At 42.8% G+C, this 25815-nt stretch overlaps 2 protein-coding genes across 19 annotated transcripts in view, besides 3 other annotated features; one reads left to right on the top strand and one right to left on the bottom strand.

Annotated features, from left to right (window-relative positions):
• Positions 1–14974, bottom strand: part of MARCHF5 (membrane associated ring-CH-type finger 5) — a 62798-nt gene extending 47824 nt beyond the window's left edge. The window contains exon 1 of the mRNA NM_017824.5: positions 14612–14974. Within this exon, the coding sequence (NP_060294.1) occupies positions 14612–14646 (35 nt within the window). The 5' untranslated portion in view covers positions 14647–14974. The remainder of the gene's footprint in view (positions 1–14611) is intronic.
• Positions 14034–14612: an enhancer, noted in NCBI's record as "H3K27ac hESC enhancer chr10:94051286-94051864 (GRCh37/hg19 assembly coordinates)". NCBI's record gives its function as "activates a minimal SCP1, AML or CMV promoter by ChIP-STARR-seq in primed H9 embryonic stem cells {active_cell/tissue: H9 hESC(primed)}" and the evidence as "EXISTENCE:reporter gene assay evidence [ECO:0000049][PMID:30033119]".
• Positions 14750–14999: a silencer, noted in NCBI's record as "silent region_2615". NCBI's record gives its function as "represses an Ori minimal core promoter by ATAC-STARR-seq in GM12878 lymphoblastoid cells {active_cell/tissue: GM12878}" and the evidence as "EXISTENCE:reporter gene assay evidence [ECO:0000049][PMID:35858748]".
• The window catches only part of CPEB3 (cytoplasmic polyadenylation element binding protein 3), a 244542-nt gene continuing 233634 nt past the window's right edge, over positions 14908–25815 (top strand). For 16 of the 18 annotated variants that reach the window (XM_011539517.3, XM_011539520.3, XM_005269630.5 and 13 more), the window contains exon 1: positions 15063–15215. The gene's annotated coding sequence lies outside the window, so the exon portion shown is untranslated. Of the gene's footprint in view, positions 14973–15062; positions 15216–25815 lie in introns of those variants that run through there. The other 2 variants (XM_047424810.1, XM_024447895.2) reach the window with 1 other exon arrangement.
• Positions 15560–15769: an enhancer, noted in NCBI's record as "active region_3769". NCBI's record gives its function as "activates an Ori minimal core promoter by ATAC-STARR-seq in GM12878 lymphoblastoid cells {active_cell/tissue: GM12878}" and the evidence as "EXISTENCE:reporter gene assay evidence [ECO:0000049][PMID:35858748]".

Below are 25815 nucleotides of genomic sequence, written 5' to 3'. Positions count from 1 at the left end.
ATTGAGACATGGATCAAGATGTGCTGTGCCTAAAGCTAAATATATTCTTGTACTGTTAACTCACATAAAGCAGTAGATTTTTGGGTTTTTGACTTAACCAATTCGCATTGCATCATGTGCAACCAAAATGATCTTGTTACTGTGTTGGGTACTAAGAGATGGCCTCAGTACAATCATAGAATGTAAACTCTAAAGAGTTTTTATTATTTTTGAGACAGGGTCTCACTCTGTTGCTCAGGTGAGACTGCAGTGGCACAATCACGGCTCACTGCAGCCTGGACCTCCTGGGCTCCAGTGATCCTCCCACCTCCGCCTCCTGAGTAGATGGGACTAGTTTTTGGTTTTGTCTTTTGAAATGGAAAATAGCCAATTAATTATTAGTCAAAACCAAAACACTCAAAGTCCATACCCAAGGAAAAAGGAAGTTGTAATTTCTGACCAAACTAAGAGTTTCTCCTTACATCTATTTTTCCTCTTGTTTTCTCCAATCCTCTGACTCTCTCAGAACTCAGTCCTCAGTGTGATGCATAAGCATCACCTGGGGACTCATTAGAAATGCAAATCTTTAGGCCTTGCCCCAGACCTACAGAATCAGAAACTCTGGGGGTACCCAGCACTTTGTTTCAATAAGCCCATCAGGTGATCATGATCCCGAAAGTTTGAAAACTTCTGCTCTAGCCATTCTTCCTTCCTTTTTTCTGATTTTTCCTTTGTAAATATTCTTTTTTTTTTTGGAGACGGAGTCTCGCTCTGTTGTCCAGGCTGGAGTACAGTGGTGCGATCTCAGCTCACTGCAACCTCTGCCTTCCAGGTTCAAGCAAATCTCCTGTCTCACCCTCCCGAGTAGCTGGGACTACAGGCACGTGCCACCACGTCTGGCTAATTTTTTGTATTTTCAGAAGAGACGGGGTTTCACTTGTTAGCCAGGATGGTCTCCATCTCCTGACCTTGTGATCTGCCTGCTTAGGCCTCCCAAAGTGCTGGGATTACCGGTGTGAGCCATCGTGCCTGGCCCTGTAAATATTCTTAACTCACCGTAACATAGAAATCAAATTGTTTTATGCTCACTGTAAACATTTTTAAATTATTTGGTTTTTAATTTTAAACAATAAGTAAAATGCTTAAGGTATTTTTTCCTAAGGAAACAAGGTTAAATTAATTTGGGGAAAAAGATAATGCGAATTCAGGATATTCTAGCTGGTTAAAGAACCTGGACTTTGGAGCCAGATTGTCTGGGTTCAAACCCCTGCTAACTACATAGGTTTAATGATAGAATCTCTTTCACAGAGTTGTTGCAAAGCAGGGGTTCTTAATCTGGGGTCCATGAAAAACTTAGGGGGTGGGGATCGGTAAATCTGAATGAGGGGAGAAAAACCATCACGTTTATTTTTGCTAAGCTCTAAATAAAATGTAGCTTTTCTTCAATAATGAGTGCAAGCAAACCACAGTAATATTAGCAGCACAGCAATTAGAAATGAGTATAGCAACCAGAAATTTTCATATTACTTTACAGCTGTAGAGATCCCGAAATAACTAATTTCAAATTACAATGAGCTAAATGTTATCAGGCCAACTGATAAATCTTGTATTTTAATGTGTTAAAGTTCATATTACTATTTTAGGCTTTTAATATTTTGATAGCTGTACTTCAATATAATTGGTTTCATTTCTAATCCTATATATTTTGTTTTATTCTTTCAAAAACATTCTGAGAAGGAACCCATAGGCTTAACCAGACCACCAAAGGAGTTTTAGCATAAAAAATGTTTTATGTTAAGGTCCCCTATTGTAAAAGATTAAACATGTGATTAAGAAACTGCTTAAAAATTGCCTAGCACATATATAACCTCCATATGACCACTAGCAATAACAACATTGACAATGATGACAGTGATGGTGTCAGCTTTCCATTCAAGTTCCTAAAATTTATGGATGCAGTTTTCTTACCATTAGCACATAAAGCAATTCTACTTGGCACCCTGGCATTCAGTGGAAAATGTTCTGGATTCCTAGTCATTTCCCCAATTTTTCAACAGGCCACGCCACTACTTAAGATCTTAAGATTCATTTAAACCCTTTCAATTCATTTTCTTTCACCCTTATTACCCTTCTGGTAGCTTTTCTAAATGCCACCTACTTGCTGATGTTACTCCTACACCATCCTATTCACCAAGTTGGGGCATATTCATTTACAAAGCAAAAGGAGATCTGGGAAGTATCATGATTGGTTCAGGGAACAAAGAACAAATCACTGTCATTATATGAAGACAACAGAAGAGAACTAAACTAGACAAATCTAAGGACTATTACTTATTCCTAAGAACAGATGTATAGTCTTACTGGTATGGGTAATATAATTCCATGTGATTTTAAAATTATGATGGTTTTTGCCAGTTATATAGTAAACTAATAAAGAGTAAACAGTAAAATTTATAAACAGTTTAAGGAATATACATGACAAAATTGCCCTAAATCTAACATTATTCAAGATCTCCTCCTAAATCCACTTGAGTACCTAATAAGTACATTCATTATTTGATGCCACAAGGAACTACATGTAAGGAACTTCCAGTCTAGTTAACGAACAAACATGCATACGAGGATCACAAAAAAACCACTATACCAAGCATTAAGTGCCAAGAAAAGTTGTTAGAAACCTTAATACAGAAATGTGATGAGAGACCAAGAAACAGGATGAAACAGCTGAGGTTTCAAGAAAAGGAAATAACTACAGATGAGAATTCAAGTTAGAGTGGAAAGAAAAGGTATTTGAAGAAAAACAGAGTAAGCAAGCTTAGAGATGGAAATGAACATATATTCATAGACCAATGTGGTTGGAGCAGAAAGATTTTAAGATGAAGCTAGATATTACAAACCAGTTGGGAAAGGATGAATAACAAAGACAATCTCACTTCACAGGGTTCATTTGTGACTAATTTACAGTCTATCTGATCAAACAGGTTAATTATTTTTAAAGTATGTAGAAAAAAGTGAGGGGGGCTTTATTTATCAAAAAGATAGTTTCTCACTGGCACTAAATTAAGCAAGATAGGTACAGTAACTTAAAAAACAGCTGGTAGTAAAGCCTTTGCAGACTCAAACTGCAGGTGTTTCTTTTGGATTCTTAGGAAATTCTGGGAAATCAGACTCCTGCCTGAGAAATCACTGTGATGAAAATTGGAATGTAGCAGAATAGAAGAGTGAGAATATAGAAAGCAAGCGTGGAATAAGCTTTAAATTGCTGCTGTTGTATTATATATGGTGCCATAATAGTGTATTTACATGACTGCTCTAAGGAAAGAGAACAAGCACTCCTCAATTTAGAACAAGTTTGGAGATTCATACTGTGGTTAATGTAAGGAGGGCTCTATTTGACAAAGAAAAAGACTACATGTTAGGCCGGGCACGGTGGCTCACGCCTATAATCCCAGCACTTTGGGAGGCCGAGGTGGGTGGATCACCTGAGGTCAGGAGTTGGACACCAGCCTGACCAACATAGAGAAACCCCGTCTCTACTAAAAATACAAAATTAGCCGGGTGTGGTGGTGCATGCCTGTAATCCCAGCTACTCAGGAGGCTGAGGCAGGAAAATCGCTTGAACTCGGGAGGCGGAGGTTGCAGTGAGCCGAGATCGTGCCATTGCACTCCAGCCTGGGCAACAAGAGCAAAACTCCGTCTCAAAAAAAAAAAAAGAAAAAAAAAGAAAAAAGAAAACTACGTGTTGCTTATTTTGTCTCAGGATTAAAAGTGTCACACCCAAGAATTGTGAAACAGAAAGCACACTATTAGGGAGACTAATATGTCCGTTCATCCTAGTGGAATGGAAGTTAAAGTACCTGGATCTATCAAAGACATATAACCACAATCATGACACATTACCAAAAAGAAAAGGTGAGAATACAGTCAGCCCTCCAACTGAGGGTTCTGCATCTGTTCATTCAACTAATCTCAGGTAAAATACATTTGGAAAAAAAAGAGTCTGTACTGAACATGGAGGGACTTTTCCTTGTTATTATTTCATAACAATACAGTATAACAACTATTTGCATAGCATTTACACTGCATTAGGTATTTTTTTTTTGAGACAGAGTCTTGCTTGTCACCCAGGCTGGAGTGCAATGGCGTGGTCTCAGCTCACCGCAATCTCTGCCTCCCGGGTTCAAGCGATCCTCCTGCCTCAGCCTCCCAAGTAGCTGGGATTGCAGGTGTGTGCCACCATGCCCAGCTAATTTTTTTGTATTTTTAGTAGAGATGGGGTTTCACCATGTTGGCCAGGCTGGTCTCAAACTCCTGACCTCAGATGATCCGCCTGCCTCAGGCTCCCAAAGTGCTGGGATTACAGGCGTGAGCCCCTGCACCCGGCCTGTATTAGGTATTATATGTAATCTAGAGAGAACGTAAAGTGTACAGGAGGATGTGCATAGGTTATATGCAAATACTACACCATTTTATATCAGGGACTTGAGCATCTACAGAGTTTGGCATCCTTGGGAGGTCCCAGAACCAATTCCCCACGAATACTGAGCAATCATTTATTGAGTATAGTATATTCATGCCGTGCCTTTTGTCTTTGATGTTCATAAACTCTGAAAGCACAATTAATCCCATCTTAAACAAGAACCAAAAGCCCAGAAAGGTTAAGTGATCTGGCCAAGGCCACACAGTAAGCAGAGAGGCATGGATGCAACCTGGGCCATGACTCCAAATCATCAGCTTTTTTCACTGCACCATGCTGCCCTATGTATAGTGTATTCAGAGAAAAATTCACATTTACATTTCCCATTTCTTAGAAAATTACAGCAGTACAAAAAATACGTGTTTCATTTTACTAAGGTACTTTAAAGCAGCCATAATGTGCTTCCTCCAGAGAGGCAAATCCCTTTCAGTTTACTCCAATGGGCCATATAAATATTGTCATCTATGTGAACTACGGCATGTAAAGAATTAGGAGGCAGGTCAGGCGTGGTGGCTCATGCCTGTAATCCCAGCACTTTGGGAGGCTGAGTGGGGAGGACTGCTTGAGACCAGGAGTTCAAGGCCAGCCTGGCCAAAACAGTGAAACCCTGTTTCTACTAAAAATACAAAAAATTAGCTGAGCATGATGGCACACACCTGTAATCCCAGCTACTTGGGAGGCTGAAGCATGAGAATCGCTTGAACCCGGAGGCTGCAGTGAGCCAAGGTTGCACTACTGCATTCCAGCTTGGGCAACAGAGTGAAGGCTCTGCCTCAAAAAAAAAAAAAAAAAAGAATTAGGAGGCACTGAAGATGAACTGCTACATGAGTCTGGAGAAGAAGAGAAAAATATTTCTGCAGACATGGTCAGAAGAGCATTATAAACAAGGCAGAACCTAACTAGGTCTTGAAAAATGGGTAGAGCTTTGAAAGAAAAGATGCCAAACAAAACCCAAAAACAAAAACCACCTTATGTTTGGAAGAAAGTGCGCAAGCCAGTTTGGCTTGGGCAAAAGACTTGGGTACTTATACACTTATTCATAAAGAGAAGAAAGGCTTTAAAAAGGCAGTTGGTGCCAGCTATGTACGGCATATCTTAAACATAATAGGGAGCATAATAAATGGTCTGTGAATAATGGTGAGTGTCCTGAAGGACAGGCTAAAGAATATGATCTCTTTTTTTTTTTTGAGACAGGGTCTTGCTCTGTGGCCCAGGCTGGAGTGCAGTGGCATGGTGCAATCTCAGCTCACTGCAACCTCCATAACCTGGGCTCAGGTGATCCTCCCATCTCAGCCTCCCCAGCAGCTGCAATTACAGGTGTGGGCCACCACACCCAGCTATTTTTTCTTTCTTTCTTTTTTTTTTTAAGTAGACACAGGGTTTCTCCATGTTGCCCACGCTGGTCTCAAACTCTTGGGCTCAAGCAATCTGCTCCTCTCGGCCTCCCAAAGTGCTGGGATTACAGGCATGAGCCACTGAGCCCGGCCAGATCTTTTTTTCTTTTCTTTTCTTTTTTTTTTTTGAGACAAGGTCTTGCTTTGTTATACCCAGGCTGGAGTGCAGTGATGTGATAATGGCTTGCTGCAGCCTCAATCTCCCAGGCTCAAGTGAACCTCCCGCTTCAGCCTCCTGAGTAGCTGGGAGTATAGGCATGCACCACTACACTGGTTACTTTTTTATTTTTTGTAGAGACGGGGGTCTTAGTATTTTGCTCAGGTGGGTCTCAAACTCCTGAGATCAGGCGATCCTCCTGCCTCAGCCTCCCAAAGTGCCCAGCCCTGAACTTAATCTCAATAAGCAGTAAGAAAATACAAGTTTTGAGCAAATGAGGCAATTTAAAAAAATGGTGCTTCTGCATGATTATTCTAAGCACTGATATGTCACAAAGAATGAAAAGAAAGACATCATGATACAAAAGAGGGTCTCCTATGCACTAAGGCCCTTGTGGGAAAATAGGATAGGGAATACAGGCAGTTTCTGTTCTCAGTGAACTTCCAGATGAATATGTGTGTGTGTGGGAAGCTCTGAGACATGGGACAAGTATATTAAAAAATTTACAGTACAATGTGATACACTATAATAAATGCAACAAGGTTCTATTGAAACACAGAAAGGAGTTATTAACTCTGTTTGGGGGAGCTGTGCAAGGTGTCACTGTGGTATTTCAGCTGAATTCAATATGGGTAAGACTTCACCAGGTGTTAGGAGGGAGGAAGGCACCTAAAGCAAAAATAAAGAAATGAAAGAGCAGGATATGTTCAGGGGTCAATGAAGGGGAGTGCAGGAAAGGATGGTTAAGGTAGGTTGGGGCTGGATTATAGTAACAGATCAAAGCACGTTACCCCGTTGAAAGTTTACGTTTTATCCTTTTACGTGACACAGAGACTGGCAGATTTTTAAGTATAGAAATCGCATGATTATAATTGTGCCTTCGCTAATTCTAGTGCCACTCTGTAGGCCAAACTGGACCAAGTGAAAAATTGAAGCTAGAAAAAGGAAAATCAACAATATGTGATGAACAAGTGGATCTGGAAGGAAAGAAGGCAGCAAAAAAATGTAAATAGGCCGGGCAAGGTAGCTCATACCTGTAGTCCTAACACTTTGGGAGGCCAAGGTAGGATTGGTGGAGAACAGGAGTTTGAGACAGCCTGGGCAACATAGTGAGACCCGTCTCTATCCCCCTCCCCACCAAAAAAAAAAAAGTTTAAAAAAAATTAGCTGGGCATGCTGGCTTGCCCTGTGCTCCTAGCTACTTGGGAGGCTTGAGCCTGGGAGTGCAAGACCCTGTTTCTTTAACAAAAACAAAGAAAACAAGAAAAACTTATGTTTTGGCTAGCTTCATGCCTGTAATCCCAGCACTATGGGAGGCTGAGGCAGGAGGGTCACTTAAGCTCAGGAGTTTGAGACCAGCCTGGGCAACACGGCGAAAGCCCGTCTCTACTAAAAATACAAAAATTAGCTGGACATGCAGTCCCAGCTAGTCAGGAGGGTGAGGTGGGAGGATATTTTGAGCCGGAGGGTGGGGGATGGAGGTTGCAGTAAGCCGAGATGGGCCACTGCACTCCAGCCTGGGCGACAGAGCCAGACCCTGTCTCAAAAACAAACAAACAAATAAAATTTATGTTTTATAGCTGGTGGACAAGAAGACTGGTAATATCAAAGACCAAAAATTGAGAAGTCAAGATAAGTAGCTTAGTTTTAGATTGATTGGCAATACTGTATACACACAAATGGAAATGTCCACTGGGCAGGTAGAAATTAGGTGCTAAAGGAAATGAGGAAAAGAGGTCAGGAATAAAGACACAGATCTGGGAGTTGTTTGAATAAACAGGAAAGAGAGTGAGTAAGTGTACTTTCTCAAAATAGTAAATGCTGAGAATTGAACCATACATAGAAATTGAAGGAAGAAAAAGGTAACGTGATTCTGAAGGATAAAAAGTCCTGAAGAAAATGTCATTATATTTACTAAGAAATTATTGGTGACCTTTAGTATACATATACATATATAGAGAGAGAGATCGTGCAGTGGCACGATCTCAGCTCACTGCAACCTTTGCCTCCCAGGTTCAAGCGATTCTTGTGCCTCAGCCTCCCGAGTAGCTGAGATTACAGGTATGTGCCACTATGCCCTACTAATGTTTGTATTTTTTGTAGAGATGGGGATTCGCCATGTTGGCCAGGCTGGTCTTGAACTCCTGAGCTCAAGTGATTGGCCTGCCTCGGTCTTCCAAAGTGCTGGGATTACAGGTGTGAGCCACTGCACCCAGCCCTTCAGTACACTTTCAGTAGAGCTAATGACAAGAAAGGGGAATGAAAGTCAAATTATCAGGAAAAATAATAAAGAGAAAATAAGAATCTAAATGTCATAAACGAGACTGGATTAAAAAAGAAAAAAGGCCAGGTGTGGCGGCTCATGCCTGAAATCCCAGCACTTTGGGAGGCCGAGGCAGGTGGATCACGAGGTCGGGAGTTTGAACCAGTCTGGCCAACACAGTGAAACCCTGTCTCTACTAAAAATACAAAAAATTAGCTGGGTGTGGTGGCACGTGCTTGTAGTCCCAGCCACTTGGGAGGTTGAGGTGGGAGAATCAATTGAACTCAGGAGGTGGAGGTTGCAACAGTGAGCCGAGACCACGCCATTGCACTCCAGCTTGGGTGGCAGGGTGAGACTCTGTCTCAAAAAAAAAAAAAAAAAAAAAAAGTTGAAAGCTGGATGTGGTGGAACACACCTGTAGTCCCCCACTTTGGGAGCTTTGGGAGGCCGAGGCGAGCGGATCACTTGAGCCCAGGAGTTTGAGACCAGCCTGGGCAACGTGGTGAAACTCCATCTCCACAAAAAAAATACAAAAAATCAGCTAGGTGTGGTGGTGCACACCAGTAGTCCCAGCTACTCTGGAAGCTGAGGTGGGAGGATCACTTGAGCCTGGGAGGTTGAGGCTGTAGTGAGCCGTGACTGTGACCCTCCACTCCAGCCTGAGCAATGGAGTAAGACCCTGACTCAAAAAAAAAAAAAAAAAAGTAGTCTATTAATATACTTTTCTATATAAAAGCATTAAACCAAGAAGGATGGAAGAATATAAACCCATTTTATGATAGTGGAGTGGGGATGAGAAGATATGCCATTGGGGATGGTGGTCAAAGGGGATTTAATTTTATCTATGATGTTTCCATTTTTTACATATATCTGGAAATAAATATAATTGATGATGATTTTTAATTCTGGGCATTGGTCTGTAATTGTCAACATGGTGATGTGATTGAGAAAAAGAGGTCAACTGACAAAGAAAATGTGAAATTGTTTATACAGCATGCTCCTATCAGAGTATAGCTTCCTTGGTCTTCAAAGGGGTATACATCTGTGGATAACACTCTCACAGAGGCAGAATTCTAATTCACTATACCATTGTGGGAGGGGGCTGGAAGAATAGACCACTCTCTCTGCTCTTTCTGCCATCTGACCATTCTGGGGACATTCTGGCTACACTCCTTGCCTATTTACTAGATGCAAGTAAGTGATGCAAAACAACCTCAACAAATTAATGCGTGTTTATTTTAAGACGGGGGAAGCAGAAGTAGTTTCCAAAAGCATTTCTCAGTAGGTCCAGGCTTCAAATCAGAGGTCCATTCCTGCAGTTTGTTATAATATTCTTTGCATTGTTCTCTGTAAATTCACTCCTAACTTTGAGAAGTTTTAGAGAAAAATGAGAATGTCGGTGGTCAAAGAGAAAGTAATATATAACAACTTCTTATTAAAGAATTGAAGCAATGAAAGACAGAAGAGCTAACTAAGGTTCAAAAGGCCTGACATAAAGGGTTTGGGCTTATGAATGGTTATCATTTCAGGGAAATGATATTTGTGACACTGAAACATTCACGACACTAGAAAAATCACCCCCCTTTCCACCATTCTTGTTTCCCCACAACAACTTAAAAGGTTCAAATAATAAATTTACATAAAACACTTATAGTTTATAAAAACGAAAGGCAATCCAAAGAATATATATCCATATGGTCAGGAGTGGTGGCTCACCCCTGTAATCCCAGCACTTTGGGAAGCAGAGGTAGGTGGATCACCTGAGGTCAGGAGCTCGAGACCAGCCTGACCAACATAGAGATACCCAGTCTCTACTAAAAATACAAAATTAGCCAGGCGTGGTGGCACATGCCTGTAATCCCAGCTACTCCGGAAGCTAAGGCAGGAGAATCACGCGAACCCGAGAGGCGGAGGTTGTGGTGAACCGAGATCGCGCCACTGCCCTCCAGCAGCCTGGGCAACAAGAGCGAAATTCCATGAAAAAAAAAAAAATTCCATATATATATGTATGTATGTATATATATACGTATGTATATGTATTCTTTCCACCTACAAATATTACAGTAATCAAAGTTACCAATATAAACAAATAATAGCTAAACTAAAGTGAGTTATTTGCAAAGGACAAGGGAATTCAACTTCAGCTATTAAGAAGTTGCCACAGGCCAGGCACGGTGGCTCACGCCTGTAATCCCAGCACTGTGGGAGGTCAATTCCGGCAGATTACGACGTCAGGAGATCGAGACCATCCTGGCTAACACGGTGAAACCCCGTCTCTACTAAAAATACAAAAAAATTAGCTGGCCTTAGTGGCGGGTGCCTGTAGTCCCAGCCACTCGGGAGGCTGAGGCAGGAGAATGGCGTGAACCCAAGAGGCACAGTTTGCAGCGAGCCAAGATTGCGCCACTGCACTCCAGCCTGGGCGACTGAGCGAGACTCTGTCTCAAAAAAAAAAATAAAAAATAAATAAATAAATAAATAAAAGAAGTTGTCACCAGTTGGCCCAAGTGACAGAGTGAGACTTCGCCTCAAAAAAAAAAAAAAAAAAAAAAAAAGAAAAGTTGCCTCTAGTTTAAAAACCCTGAAAGATTAAATGGTATAAATTGAACATACCATTCATATTACAATTAAAATAGTCTTCACTTTGACAGTTTAGACAACACAAACACCCCTGGAATTGAAGCTCCATAAGGGCATTTTTGTTATGTTCAATTCACCACTATATACCAAGGGCCTAGAATAGTACTGGGCATATGAAGACACTCAGTATTTGTTAAATAAATTCAATAAGTGTAAATGTTTAATAATTGATTTACTGAAAAATAACATTTTTTTTTAAGACAGGGTCTTGCTCTGTTACCTGGGCTGTAGTACCCAGGGGCACAAACACAGCTCACTACAGCCACGACCCCCAAGGAATCCTTCCACCTCAGCTTCCTGAATATTTGGGACCACAGGCATGTGCCACCAGGCCTGGCCTAATTTTTAACATTTTTGTAAAGACTGAGTCTTGCCATGTTGCCCACACTGGTGTCTAACTCCTGGGCTCAAGCAATCCTCTCATCTCGGCCTCCCAAAGTGCTGGGATTACAGGCATGAGCTACTGTGCCTGGCCTAAATAAAATACGTAACTTAACCTAAAAGCAACAGAACAATATGTAACACACAGTTCCTTAGTCTTCACGAAGATAAAACCTGCATTAAAGAAATAAACAAATGAACAGTTATCTGAGCTAAATTCTGTCCCTCAAAAATTGCCACCAAAAACCAGGTTGGGGAGAAGCCAAATTCATGAAAAGAATTCTGGGTCCTAATAGGCTGACATATTTTAGTCTCTTGGCCCTGTTGGTATTCCTCAAGTGAACCATGTTGAGTATCTTTGTGTTCAACTTGCAGTAGGGCCAGCCCAGGTGAAGAAAGCTGTAAACATAAAGTAGATGGGGGAAAAATGGCCAAACTGGTTTACATTAGTCTTAAGTGCCTTCTATTTGGCTAACATAGAGTGTTTTGCTGTTTTATAGAGATGTATGTTTCATTTGCTGTAGCCCTGTGAAGTAGGGTTCTCATTTTATAAATGATAATATACATAGTGTCAGAATCTAAGTTCAAAGTCACATAGCTAGTAAGTGGCAAAATTCGAATTTCATACTTTCTATCTCTGAGCCCAAGCTTTACTCACTATACCCTACTATCTCTTATCATGAAAGATATCACTGACTTAGGACTTAGGGCAGTAGGTTTCTGCCATATCTAAAACATTTAAAAAGCTTTAAAATATAGATGCCCAGGCTCTACCCTACAGAAATTTTTGATCTTATTGGTCTTACAGTCCAGCATCCATGCATATTCTGAAATGCTCCCCAGGTAATTCTAACATGGAAGTAGGTTGCCAACTACTAATCTAGACAATAACGGTCTTTGAAAGTCATGTTAAAAATCTACCTTAAGGTATGTCAAAAGAGTACAAAGATGAGAGTAGTACAAAGATGAGAGTAAGCCAGTGTCATAGTCACCTACTTCAGTAAATGGCAGCCAGAATCTTCGCATTTCTGTTAATAAGTTTTAAATGCCTCACTAGCTTTTTTTTTTGAGATGGAGTTCCACTCTGTCACTCAGGCTGGAGTACAATGGTGCGATCTCAGCTCACTGCAACCTCCGTCTCCCAGGTTCAAGCAATTCTCATGCCTCAGCCTCCCGAGAGTTGGAACTACAGGCCCACGCCACTACGCCTGCCTAATTTTTGTATTTTTTTTTTTTTTTTTAGTAGAGACAGGGTTTCACCATGTTGGCTAGGCTGGTCTCAAAGGCCTGAGCTCTAGTGATCTGCCTGCCTTGGCCTCCCAAAGTGCTGGGATTACAAGGGTGAGCCACCGTGCCCAGGCTCACTCTTTGGCTTCTTACTTTTATGGAAATATCCAAAGAGCATATGAAAAGTTAGGTCAGCTTTTGGACATAAGAACTTTTCTAGGCTGGGCACGATGGCTCATGCCTGACAATCCAGCACTTTGGGAGGCTAGGCGGGAGGATCACTTGAGCCCAGGAGTTTGAGACCAGCACAGGCAACATGGCAAAACTCTGGCTCTATAAAAATACAAAAAATTAGCTGGGCATGGTGGTATGTGTTGTGGTCCCAGCTACTAGGGAGGCTGAGGTAGGAGGATCACCTGAGCCTGGGAGGCGGGGGTTGCAGTGAGTTGAGATCATGCCAATGCCACTGCCACTGCCACTGCATTCCAGTCTGGGCAACAGAGACCCTGTCTCAAAAAAAGAAGAAAAAAAGTCACTATGTAAAAATGAAAAGCAGGAGGCCCTCAAAGGAAAAAAATTAACTACAAAATACCCCACATCAGAACAGGGTCTCAACAGAATAGAACTGGCAGTGGCAGGTGGTTTCCTCTGGGCATATTTTAATTTGCCACAATTTGCCAATTTACAATGAAAGGAAAACCTGGTAAATTATCAGACCCCCTAGACAACTGGGGAAACTGACAAATAAGTTTGTGCATTAGTTCATACAACAAATACTTACTGATTACCTACTGAGTACCAGGCTCTGTTCTGGGATTCAAGATAAACAATAGTAAGTTTCTGCTTCCAAGAGCTTATAAACCACACACATATCACACACATATATATATAAAGCAGTCAATACAATTGTCAGGATGTTGACCTGAAACAAGGGCTGGATGAATCACCAGTTATCTCAACTGAAAAAAATCAGTGACATAATTCCTATTAACTGAGATGGCTCAAAATTCTAAGCTCCAAAAAAATGTCTGTCACTCTGGAAGGATGTGTACCCTTGGGTCATTTGTGTTCTGGGTGTGGCAGGCCCAAAAGCATTTAACTGGGTATAAACTCAATTAAGGGAGGGCCTTCATTTAACACCTTACAGTTGGAATTTTACTGAGTACAAAGAGTTGGTACCACCTGCTGAAATGGGTGGCAAGTGGTGTCTATTGAGAATTGTAAGCAACCACAAACATCATGAATTAGCTTGTACAACTTGCTATGCCAGGAAGTAAGACTTGGCTCGGGGGAAATGTGGATCTAGAGTCTCCAAAAACTCATGGTAGGACCCACGGACCAGAATTTCAACAGCAGAGGGCGGTGCACCCGACTTCACAAAGAGTTTTACCGACTGGGGCCCCCCAAGAATGGGCAACTGGACTCCTGTACGAGCTGAAACGTCTTCAATGAACTCAACGATCGTCAAGTACACTAAATGTTCAGCGTTGGACTCATTTGGCTGTTTTCCATAACCTCTACTCTGGTCTGACCGTTAAATCTCCCTTGCGGATACTCTGACCTTACAGTTCGGAGGTGGGGACGGGATGGGGCGGGGGGGACGGGGGGTGCGGGTTCAGGGAAAGTGGGAGAATGAAATCAGCCTATCAGGCTTTCCAAAAGAATGCTTATCATTGGTTCTCAGACAGAGACTTAAAATTATAAGGGGGTCATTCCCCTGAAAGATAACCCGGTTCTTGCCAGTGACATCGCTGACAAACACTTCACAAGTTGGGGAGGGGGAAGGGGGAGGGGAAGAGGGTAAGGAAAACTAATTTTGTGGATTAACAGGAGTCCCTCTCAGGTCAAAACGGGGTTCCAAGGAAACCAGACGCCACTCCTTAGCTAAGTTTCACCCAAAGTCTACGACCCAGGCCGCTCGCTCTGTCCTCCCCCAGGTCTAGACTCCAAACTTTTTGCCCCTCTCACGGCCCCCTGGCCGTGGAACTCCTCCCGGCACGCCGGGTTCTGCTCACCAAGAGCCTCGAGGGCGGGCGCGGGCAGGGCCAGAGCGAGGGTCGGCGGCTCCCGGTCCCCCCCACAGCTGCCCGTACCTGTCCAGCATCTGCTGTAGGGCTTGGTCCGGCATCTTCCGCGGAGCCGGCGCACACGGCCTTCCCCAGTGGACCCGCTCAAGGCCAGGCCCAGGGACAATAGCACTGAGAGGCGGCGGAGTAGGCCGCAGTCCGGCGGCAGCCGCGAACCCGTCACCCAGCTTCCCGGGGCAGCTCCGCTAGCCTGGCGGCGGCGGTGCAGGGCCTGCGGGAGTCCGGCGGAGGCGGCGGAGAGCGAGGAGGAGGAGCCTGAGGCGGGGAGGCGGCGATCGCGGCCCGGGTTCCCGTCCGTCGGCCCGAGGTTCCGGTCCATGGACCGCGGGCGCCGAGTTGCTGCCGGCGGAGGAGCTACCTTTGTGAGGTAAGAGTCGCCGCCTCCGTGCGCGCCAGGGTTACGACGCAGGGCGGCCCAGAGCAGCCTGGGAGATGTAGTCTTCGGACCGTCTCCACTAGAGGCTGCACAGCCCGCCCGGACCAACGCCTCCGCGCCTGCCGCCGTCTGGCCGGCGCCCTCCCGTTTCCTTCCTCCAGGGGGAAAAAATGTCTTTCGGGCCGCTTTCCAGGAAGCAGCAGGATGCGCCGCTCCACTGTCGGTAGCAACAAGGTCAGCCCTCCCTGCCTGTTTGTTTTTGCCTCCGCTCTTGCCCTCAGGTGGGACCGAGCCAGGTGAGGGGAGGGGGCTGAAGGGCCATTTCTTATCAGGGTCCCCGGCCCCGGCCGTGGCGTCGGGGCGGTCAGTGGCGGCAGTGGGGGTGGCAGAAACTCCTTCCGAAGCCCCCGGCGCTGGAGCCAGCCTCTCCTGCGGCAGAGCCCATTTTGGGGGAATTACACCACCTCCGCGAGGGGTCGGTTGGTTTGGTGCGTGAGGTTCTTCTTGAGGGGGCGGGCAAATAGGGACTGCCTGGACCAGACAGCTTCCACCCGAGTCTCTCTGTGTGTTTGGGGCTGGGGAGTTGGGGGAAGGAAAGATGATTCTCTCCCTCTCCAGGAACCTTCTCAAATGTGCCTGGGCTTTCCAGGGCTCGCCGACAGTCTCCAAATGGAACACGTTGGTGAATAAACAGCTCTTGCTTACTCAGCTGTGGGTTGTCAGGGATGTTTGTTTCTCTCTCTGCTGCTGGTCACTGTTAACCGTTTCTAGTCGCGTTGACACCTTCAAGCAGGTGGATTGGGAGTGGCGGGGGTGGGGAATCAAAAAGGAGAAATCATCAGTCACTCCTTGGGTCAGCTTCTGACGTTCGAGGGATAGCTTTGGCGGGAGGAAAGAGCTGTCGGCTCAAACGAATGCGTTTTTTGGACGACCTGTGGCGTTTTCTCTAGGGCTGTGATTGGTAGGACGCTGGTAGTTTTCCCTTGATTATGTCTAATATCTGCTACAAGGTGTTTGATTTTTTAAAAAATGAAAATGTGTTTTTAAAGCTCTTTTTATATGTAGAATTTTACAATCAACTTTTCATTATCTGTTCAAAATTTGCGAAGTATATTTGAACTAGAGTGTTCATTGCTGGGAAAAAACAACAAACCCAAAAAATGTGACCAGAAGCTTACTTGGCCTCCAATTTTTGAAATATGTTTTTGAGAAACAGCACCCACCCCCCCCCACCACACACATACACACACACTCCTCCTAGGGAAAGAAAATGAGTATTTAGTTTAATCGGGGTGTCTAATATTTTATATATATTTGTATTATATATAATATATATGTATTATATAATATATAATACATTTATAATATATAATACATATATACATTTATAATATATAATACATATATATATATATATATATATATATTTTTTTTTTTTTTTGGTAGAGACGCGGTCTCGCCATGTTGCCCAGGCTGGTCTTGCAACTCCTGGGCTCAAGCGAGCCACCCGCATTGGTCTCCCAAAGTGTTGGGATTACAGATGTGAGTCACCGCATGTGACCAGTGTCTAATATTTTATTTAATTAATTCATTTATTTAATTAATTCATTGATTTTGAGAGATGGAGTCTTGCTCTGTTGCCCAGGCTGGAGTGCAGTGGCGCTGTCTTGACTCACTGCAAGCTCCACTTCCTGACTTCAAGTGATCCTTCTAGCCTCAGCTTCCCAAGTAGCTGGGACTACAGGTGTGTGCCACCACACCCAGCTAATTTTTGTGTTTTTTAGTAGAGATGGGGTTTCACTATATGTTGACCAGGCTGGTCTCGAACTTCTGACCTCAGGCGATCAGCCCGTCTCGGCCTCCCAAAGTGCTGGGATTACAGGGGCGAGCCACCGCGCCTGGTCTATTTTATTTTTTTGAGACGGAGTCTCGCTGTGTTGCTCAGGATGGAGTGCAGTGGCACTATCTTGGCTCACTGCAGTCTCCTCCTCCGGGTTCAGGTGATTATCGTGCCTCAGCCTCCGGAGTAGCTGGGATTACAGGCTCGCACCACCATGCCTGGCTAACTTTTGTATTTTTGGCAGAGGCAGGGTCTCACCATGTTGACCAGGCTGATCTTGAACTGATCTCAGGTGATCTGCCTGCCTCGGCCTCCCATAGGGCTGGGATCATAGATGTGAGCCACCGTGCACAGCCCGGTGTCTTAACATTTTAAATTATTATTTTTTGCTCCTTGTGCTGTGTCAGTCTAACCTTATTGTGTACTTATTTCTTAAGCAGTTGTCAGCCATGGGAGTTGGATATATACTTCCTGCTTAAAAACAGAATTTTATCCCAGCATATGGATTAAGTACACTAGTACAAACTCCAAGATTCTAAGATCTTAACCAATGTTAGAATGTCTGTTTCAACTGAAATTGGAAAATATGATACCTTTTGTTGATAGCAAAGACTTGTGCACCTTGACCTTATTATACCAACAAATGGATTTTATGTTTGCATTTTTATGAAAAATCAGCTTTCTGGCTGTGTCAAAAACCTTTTAAAGTAGAAAAAAATCCTGTTACTGGTCTAAAGAGTGATTAGCATGTGACCCAGTAATTCCACTTCTAGGTATTTTCAAGAGAAATGAAAACATGTCTACACAAAATCTTGTTTGTGAATGTTCATAGCAGCATTATTCTGGGTTTTTTTTTTTTTTTTTTGAGACAGAGTCTCGCTTTGTCATCCAGGCTGGAGTGCAGTGGCGCCAGCTCACTGCATCCTCAGCCTCAGGGGCTCAAGCACTCCCCCTGCCTCAGCCCCCCAAGTAGCTAGGACTACAGGGGCGCACCACCATGTCTGGCTTAAAAAAATTTTTTTTGTAGAGATGGTGTTTTGCCATGTTGCCCAGGCTGGTTTCGAACTCATGAGCACAAATGATCCTCCCACCTCGGCCTCCCAAAATGCTAGGATTACAGGCATGAGCCACAGCACCTGGCCTACAGCATTATTCTTGATAGCCAAAAAGTGGAAACCCAAATATCCACCAGTTGATGAATGGATAAACCACATGTGGTGTATCATACAATAGAATATTATTAGGAGAAAACAAGGAATAAAGTTATGATACATGCTATAACATGAAAGAACCTTGAAAACATTATACCAAGTGAGAGGAGCCAGTCACAAAGACCACATATTGTATGATTCTGTTTGCATGAAAAGTCAAGAATAGGCAACTCCATAGAGACGGAAAGTAGACTAGTGATTGCATAGGGCTGAAGGAGTTGGGGAGAAATGGGGAGTGACTGCTAATGAGTATGAGGTTCCTTATTAGAGGGATGAAAGTATTCTAGAATTAGATAATGGTTCTGGTTATATAATTTTGTGAATTATATCACAAATAAGATAAAATTAGATTATGGTAATAGTGGCAAAACTGTAAATATACTCAAAAACCCATTGTACACTTAAAAGGGGTGAATTTTAATGTTACATAAATTACATCTCAATAAAGCTTTTAAAAGAGTAATTAGCTCCACAGAAAATGTTCATAAGGGTATCTGAAAAGAAGCATATAAACAGATAACTGATAATTCTTTATTATCAACTTTGTTTCTTATTAGTATGGGCAAAAATAGTGATTGATAAAACTCAGAAAATAAATTAATCCTAACATTTGAAATGGGTGACACATATTGTGTGAATTTCAATATTGTTTGTCAGCTTTGTTTTTTGTGGTCTTACATTTTCCAATAAGACTCAGAATAATTGGAATTACAATATATTCTCTGATTTTGAAGGAAAAAAGTCTAGATTATTAAGACCTTAATCTGACCAAAACCACATTGAAATGCACTCCTGCATTTATATGTAGGGTTGAAAATCTATGATAGTGGCGCATACCTGTAGTCCCAGCTACTCAGGAGGCTGAGATAGGAGAATCGCTTGAACCTGGGAGGCGGAGGTTGCAATGAGCTGAGATCGCACCACTGCACTCCAGCCTGGCAACAGAGTGAGACTCCGTCTCAAAAAAAAAAAAAAGTCTATGATAAATGATATTCAGCCAAGAGAGTAACCAGCATGACTATAGACAAAAACAACTTTTTCCTCAGAGATATATTTTGAAATAGAAATTAACCTACAGAAAATATTTAAAGATTCTCCCAAGTTCAGAGGACAAGAACAAAGCTTGATGATGTAGAGTTCTAAAGAGTTGGGATTATAGGCGCACACCACTATTTTAATAATTCTGTAATGGATTTAGAGATAACTGAGTATGAGCTGCTCTAAATATGTCAGAAAATTTAAAATAATATACCACTCTAATGTTCTTCCATCATACTTGTTTTGAACTGTCTACCATAAAGGGGCCTGGAGTATTCGTTACAGAAATGGTATAATATTTTTAGGTGCCTTCTAAGGAGAACTGTCAATTGCCAAATTTGGTGATAAACTGCAGGCTGAGTCCTCATTCCAAGCTACAGAAAGTTTTTTTTTCATTAATTCCTTCAGCAGGTGTTTCCAGAAAATATATGCATAGGTATGCTAGTAGCAAATTATAACTATACCTATGTTTTTTTTTTTTTTTTTTAGATAGAGTCTTGCTCTGCTGCCCAGGCTGGAGTGCAGTGGTGCCATCTCAGCTCACTGCAACCTCCCACTCCCAGGTTCAAGAGATTCTCATGCCTCAGCCACCTGAGTAGGTGGGATCACAGGCATGCATCACCACGCCCAGCTAATTTTTGTATTTTTAGTAGAGATGAGGTTTCTCCATGTTGCCCAGGCTGGTCTTGAACTCCTGACCTCAAGTGATCCACTTGCCTTGGCCTCCCAAAGTGCTGAGATTGCAGGCATGAGCCACTGTGCCTGGCCTATAGCTACCCTTCAGAGGCATACAATCTACATACCTAAATATGTTTATATTTAGAAAAATAAAAGCAGGCTGGGTGTGGTAGCTCACGCCTGTAATCCCAGCACTTTGGGAGGCCGAGGTGGGCAGATCACAAGGTCAGGAGATCGAAACCATCCTGGCTAACACAGTGAAACCCTGTCTCTACTAAAAATACAAAAAATTAGCCGGGCATGGTGGCGGGCGCCTGTAGTCCCAGCTACTCGGGAGGCCAAGGCTGGAGAATGGCGTGAATCCATGAGGCGGAGCTTGCAGTGAGCCGAGATTGTACCACTGCACTCCAGCCTGGGGACAGACTCCCTCTCAAAAAAAAAAAAAGAAAAAAGCAAATAAAACAGAGTATAATAATGAAATATTGTATAATGATAACATGATAGCATTTGAGGAAGTGTCAAATAAACAGCATAGAAATTTAGAGTGATGTAGAAGTTCCACTGGAAACTGTTGTGGACTGGTGTGTTAAAGAGAGCTTTGTAAAACCAATTTAGGCTCTACTTTGTAGCAAGAGGAGTAATTAATGTAGGTGAAGAGGTAAAGAAGGATCTTGGGTCTGGGTAAGAATGAAAGGATGTAAAGAAAGAAGTTATCCTTTATAACTTGAACTATAGATCTGTTATGTAAGCGGAAAATATGAAGGGCTGGTGCTGTGGTTTGAATGTGTCCCCCAATGTTCATATGTTAGAAACTTAAATTCTGGCTGAGCACGGTGGCTCATGCCTGTAATCCCAGCACTTTGGGATGCCGAGGCGGGCAAATCACTTGAGGTCAGGAGTTCGAGACCAGCCTGGCCAACATGGTGAAACTCCATCTCTACTAAAAATACAAACATTAACCAGGCATGGTGGTGTGTGCCTATAATCCCAGCTACTCGGGAGGCTGAGGCAGGAGAATCACTTGAACCCAGGAGGCGGAGGTTGCAGTGAGCTGAGATTGTGCCGCTACACTCCAGCCTGGGCAACCGAGTGACACTGTGTCTCAAAAAATAAAAATAAGAAAGAAAGAAAGAAAGAAACTTTAATGCAGCAGTCTTGAGAGATGGGATTATTAAGAGGTGATGAGGTTGTGAGGGCTCTGCCCTCATGAATGGATTAATATAGTTATCAAGGGAATGAGTTCATTATCTTGAGAGCAGGTTTGTTATAAAAGTGAGTTTGGTCTTCTCTTGCTCTCTGTCTTGCACTTTCACCATGTGATTCCTTCTGCCATATTATGGTGCAGCAGGAAGGCTCTTACCAGTTTATGCCCCTTGATCTTGGACTTCCCAGCCTCCAGAACTGTGAACCAAGTAAATTTCTTTTCTTTATAAATTACCTATTCTCAGGTGTTCTGTTATAGAAGCATAAAATGGACGAAGACAACTGGTTAAATCGGGAGAATAGTTAAAAAACCTTGAATCTATTAATTCATTTAAAAAATATTGATTGTATGTGACAGGCGCTAAGCTAGGGACTGAAGATACAATGATGAGCAAAAACAAGCACAGTTTTTACCTTGTTTGTGGGGTTTATAGTTTATTATGAGAAGGATTATCACATAAATAAATGTATCAAATTGCAAATGTGGTACATAGTGTTGTGAGAGATTATAACTAGGATTTGACTTAGACCAGGAGGTCATGGAAAGTTTCTCTGAGGTAGTGTCTGTTATACCGAGGCCCCAAGAAAAGCAGGCATTAACTAGATAAAGGGAAGAGGGAAGAACATTCCAGGCCAAAGAACAGCGTGTACAAATGCCTTGTGAAGGAAATGATGAATAGAAGAAACTGAAACAGAAAGGAGATCTTGAGGCAAGAGAAAACCAAAAATATCAGTGAGTGAAAGGCTGTGAAACAAAGAGCTTTGTAGGCCAGTTTAAGGAATTTTGCCCTACCCTAGGAGAGGAGGAAGCTGCTTGTGGGAGGGTTTAGGCGTAAGAAATAGACCCCATTCTGGCCGGGCGTGGTGGCTCATGCATGTAATCCCAGCACTTTGGGAGGCTGAGGCGGGCGGATGACGAGGTCAAGAGATGGAGACCATCCTGGCCAAAATGGTGAAACTCCGTCTCTACTAAAAATACAAAAATTAGCTGGGTGTGGTGGTGTGTGCCTGTAGTCCCAGCTAGTCAAGAGGCTAAGGCAGGAGAATTGCTTGAACCCTGGAGGCGGAGGTTGCAGTGAGCCGAGATTGCACCACTGCACTCCAGCCTGGTGACAGAGTGAGACTCTGTCTCAGGAAAAAAAAAAAAAAGAGACCCCATTCTGGGCCGGGCACAGTGGCTCACACCTGTAATCCCAGCACTTGGGAGGCTGAGGCAGGTGGATCACCTGAGGTCAGGAGTTCGCGACCACCCTGGACAACATGGTGAAACCCCGTCTCTACTAAAAATACAAAAAAATAGCCAGGTGTGGTGGCGAGGACCTGTAATCCCAGCTACTCGGGAGGCTGAGGCAGGAGAATTGCTTGAACTGGGGAGGCAGAGGTTGCAGTGAGCCGAGATTGCACCACTGCACTCCAGCCTGGGCCACAGAGTGAGACCTTGTCTCAAAAAAAAAAAAAAAAAAAAAAGAAAGAAAAAGAAAAAAGAAATAGACCCCATTCTGTAGGAACTGGGAAGTTAACTTGTAGTGGTTCCTAAACCTGCTATGAGTCAGAGAACTGCCCTGGAAATTTTGATCTGTGTGCCCTGCAGTGGTGCCTAATTAGCTGTCTTTTTAACAAGTTCTCTAAGTGATTATTAATGTTAGAGAATCTCTGCAAAGATAACATAGGTTTGAGTCTTAACATTGATACTCAGAAGCTTGGTGATTTGATTTGGGCAGGTTACAGAATCTCTTTTAGTCAGATTCTTCATCTCCAGCGGAAGTGGGGAGAATTATAGATCCTCCCTTTTTGAATTCCTGGGAGGAATAAATGAGAAAATTCATTTAAATTGTTCAGTACAAGGCCAGACATGTGGTTAAGGGCTCTTAATAATTATTACTGAAAGTTCTTCAGTAAAGGTGAGGGTGATTTAGGGGATTTTTATTTTTATTTTTATTTTTGAGAGAGTCTCACTGTCACCCAGGCTGGAGTGCAGTGGTGAAATCATGGCTCACTGTGGCCTTGCCTACCGGGCTCAGGTGATCCTCCCACCTCAGCCTCCTGAGTAGCTAGGACTACAGGCACACGCCACCATGCCCAGATAATATTTTGTATTTTTTGTAGAGACAGGGTTTCGCCATGTTGCCCAAACTGTCCTCAAATTCCTCAGCTGAAGTGATCCACCTGCCTTGGCCTCCCAAAGTTCTGGGATTACAGGCATGAACCACTGTGCCTGGCTGATTTAGGGGATTAATCTTGGAGTGGTATGTATGGTGGGTTGGAAACAGAAATAAGTTAAGCCTCGGCTAGGTCTCAGTAACTTGACCATGGTCTGTAAGCATTTTCAGAAGTTTGCTTTAACATGGCTATTAGTTTTTGATGATCCTTATATAGGTTAAGTAGTTGAAGTAGATAATGTCCCTGTTGCTCTCTAAAGGACATTAAGAGGAGACTTTGGTCCCCAGAATATGTTTTACTGGTTTAACATCTACGGTATTATGTTTTTTTCTTTCTTTTTTTTTTGAGATGGGATCTTGCTCTGTCACCCAGGCTGGAGTACAGTGGTGCAGTCTTGGCTCACTGCAATGTCCATCTCCCTGTTCAAGCAATTCTCCTGCTTCAGCCTCCTGAGTTTGGGATTACAGGCACGCGCCACCACACCTGGCTAATTTTTGTATTTTTAGTAGAGATGGGGTTTTACCATGTTGGTCAGGCTGGTCTCAAACTCCTGACCTAGTGATCCACCTGCCTTGGCCTCCCAAAGTGCTGGGATTACAGGCGTGAGCCACTGCACCTGGCCTACAGTGTTACTTTGATTTGACTTTAGTTTCTTAGTTCTAGAGAGAGGCTTCACTTGCTACTTATAGAGGACTGTTTGAAACCTATCTTCATTTGCTACCCAGAGAATAGAATCTTATCTGCATATATTCACTGTAATGGGGTAGATATTTACAAAATTTCATAAATCAATATCATCTGTCAATTTTGCTTTCTCCTTATAAATATGGTGGGAGACCCATTACTTTTCATTATCCTTGCTTACATTCCTCTCTTTGGCTTATGTATCCCTGGGCCATGCAATGGTCGAGGGCAGAGAAACTTTCTGTAGCTTGTTCCTGAAGTATCAATTTTATAAGAAAATGTATATGTAAAGAATTATTTTGCTTTTTAAACAAGCATGGATTTCATAGAGCAGCAGTTCTCAAAGTATGGCCTTGCAGACCCCAGGGTTCTCTGAGACCCTTTCCACGGAACATGTGAAGTCAAGACTATTTCATAATAGTAGTAAAACATTATTTGCATTTTTCACTGCGTTAGCATTTACACTGATGGCACCGGCAACAGTAGATAAAACTCTGCACCTTAGCACCATTCAAGACATTGGAACCAATAGTAGTAATGATCATAGTTTTCATTACCATGTGCATGCAAAAAGAAAACAAAACAAAACTAGTTTCACTTAATGTCCATGATTAAACAGTAGAAGATACTCATTTTATTAACCTTGACTTTTAGATACACATATTTTTAACAATCTATATGATAAAGTGGGCAGTATGCATACTTCTGTATCCAAAGTATGATAATAGATACAATTAAGATGCAAACTGAACTGGTTGCTTTTTTGTGGCACACTATTTTTACCTGAAAGAGAGACTGACAATCAAAATTCAAAATATTTGTGCTGCGAAGGATACCATCGTAGTGAAACAGCAACCCACAGAAAGGGAGAAAATGTTTAGAAATCCTGTATCTGAAAAGGGACTTATATTTAGAATATATAAAAATTTATTACAACTGAACAATTTTAAAAAGGCCAGCGTGGTGGCTCACGCCTGTAGTCCCTGCACTTTGGGAGGCAAGATGGGAGAATCAGTTGAGGCAAGGAGTTCAAAACCAGCCTGGGCAACATAGAGAGATTGTGTCTCTACCAACCCCTCCTGCACCCCCGCCCAAAAACCAAACCCAAAAAAAGCCCAATTTAAAAACAGACAAAGGACCTAAAAAGACATTTCTTCCCCAAAAAATTATTTGAAGAAATGTCTTTTAAGGTCCTTTGTCCGTCTTTAAATTGGGGAAAAAGAAATTGGAAAAGACATTTCTCCAAAGATAAGCAAATAGTAAGCACATGAAAAGATGCTCACCATCGCCGGGCGTGGTGGTTCATGCCTGTAATCCCAGCACTTTGGGAGGCTGAGGCAGGTGGATCACCTGAGATCAGGAGTTCGAGACCAGTCTGACCAACATGGTGAAACCCTGTCTCTACTAATAATGCAAAAATTAGCCGGGCGTGGTGGCACACACCTGTAATCCCAGCTACTCAGGAGGCTGAGGCAGGAGAATTGCTTGAACCCAGGAGGCGGGGGTTACAGTGAGCTGAAATCCCGCCACTGTACTCCAGCCTGGGCGACGAGAGCAAAACTCCGTCTCCAAAAAAAAAAAAAAAAAAAAAAGAATAGATGCTCACCGTCTATTAGCCTGTATGTATATAGATCAGGGATTTATTTATTTATATTTGTGTTTTTGTTTGTTTGGTTTTTTTTTTTTTTTTTCACTCTCGGCCCACTGAAACCACCGCATCCTCTGCCTCCCAAGTGGCTGGGACTACGGGCATGTACCGCCATGCTTGGCTAATTTATATACTTTTTGTAGAGACGAGGGTTTTGCCACATTGCCCAGGCTGGTCTTGAACTCCTGGGCTCAAGTGTTCTACCTGCCTCAGCCTCCCAAAGTATTGGGATTATAGGCATGAGTCGCTATGCCTGGACAGGAATTTTTAAAACCTGAAATCCCTGGACCCCTTAGGGATCTAGTTTTTTTTCTTTCTCTCTCTCTCTCTTTTTTTTTTTTTTTTTTTTTTTTTGAGATGGAGTTTTGCTCT

Source organism: Homo sapiens, chromosome 10, assembly GCF_000001405.40.
Source record: "Homo sapiens chromosome 10, GRCh38.p14 Primary Assembly".
Taxonomy (NCBI): Eukaryota; Metazoa; Chordata; class Mammalia; order Primates; family Hominidae; genus Homo; species Homo sapiens.
Note: the sequence above shows the minus strand (reverse complement) of the source record. Positions and strands in the feature narration are given on the sequence as shown.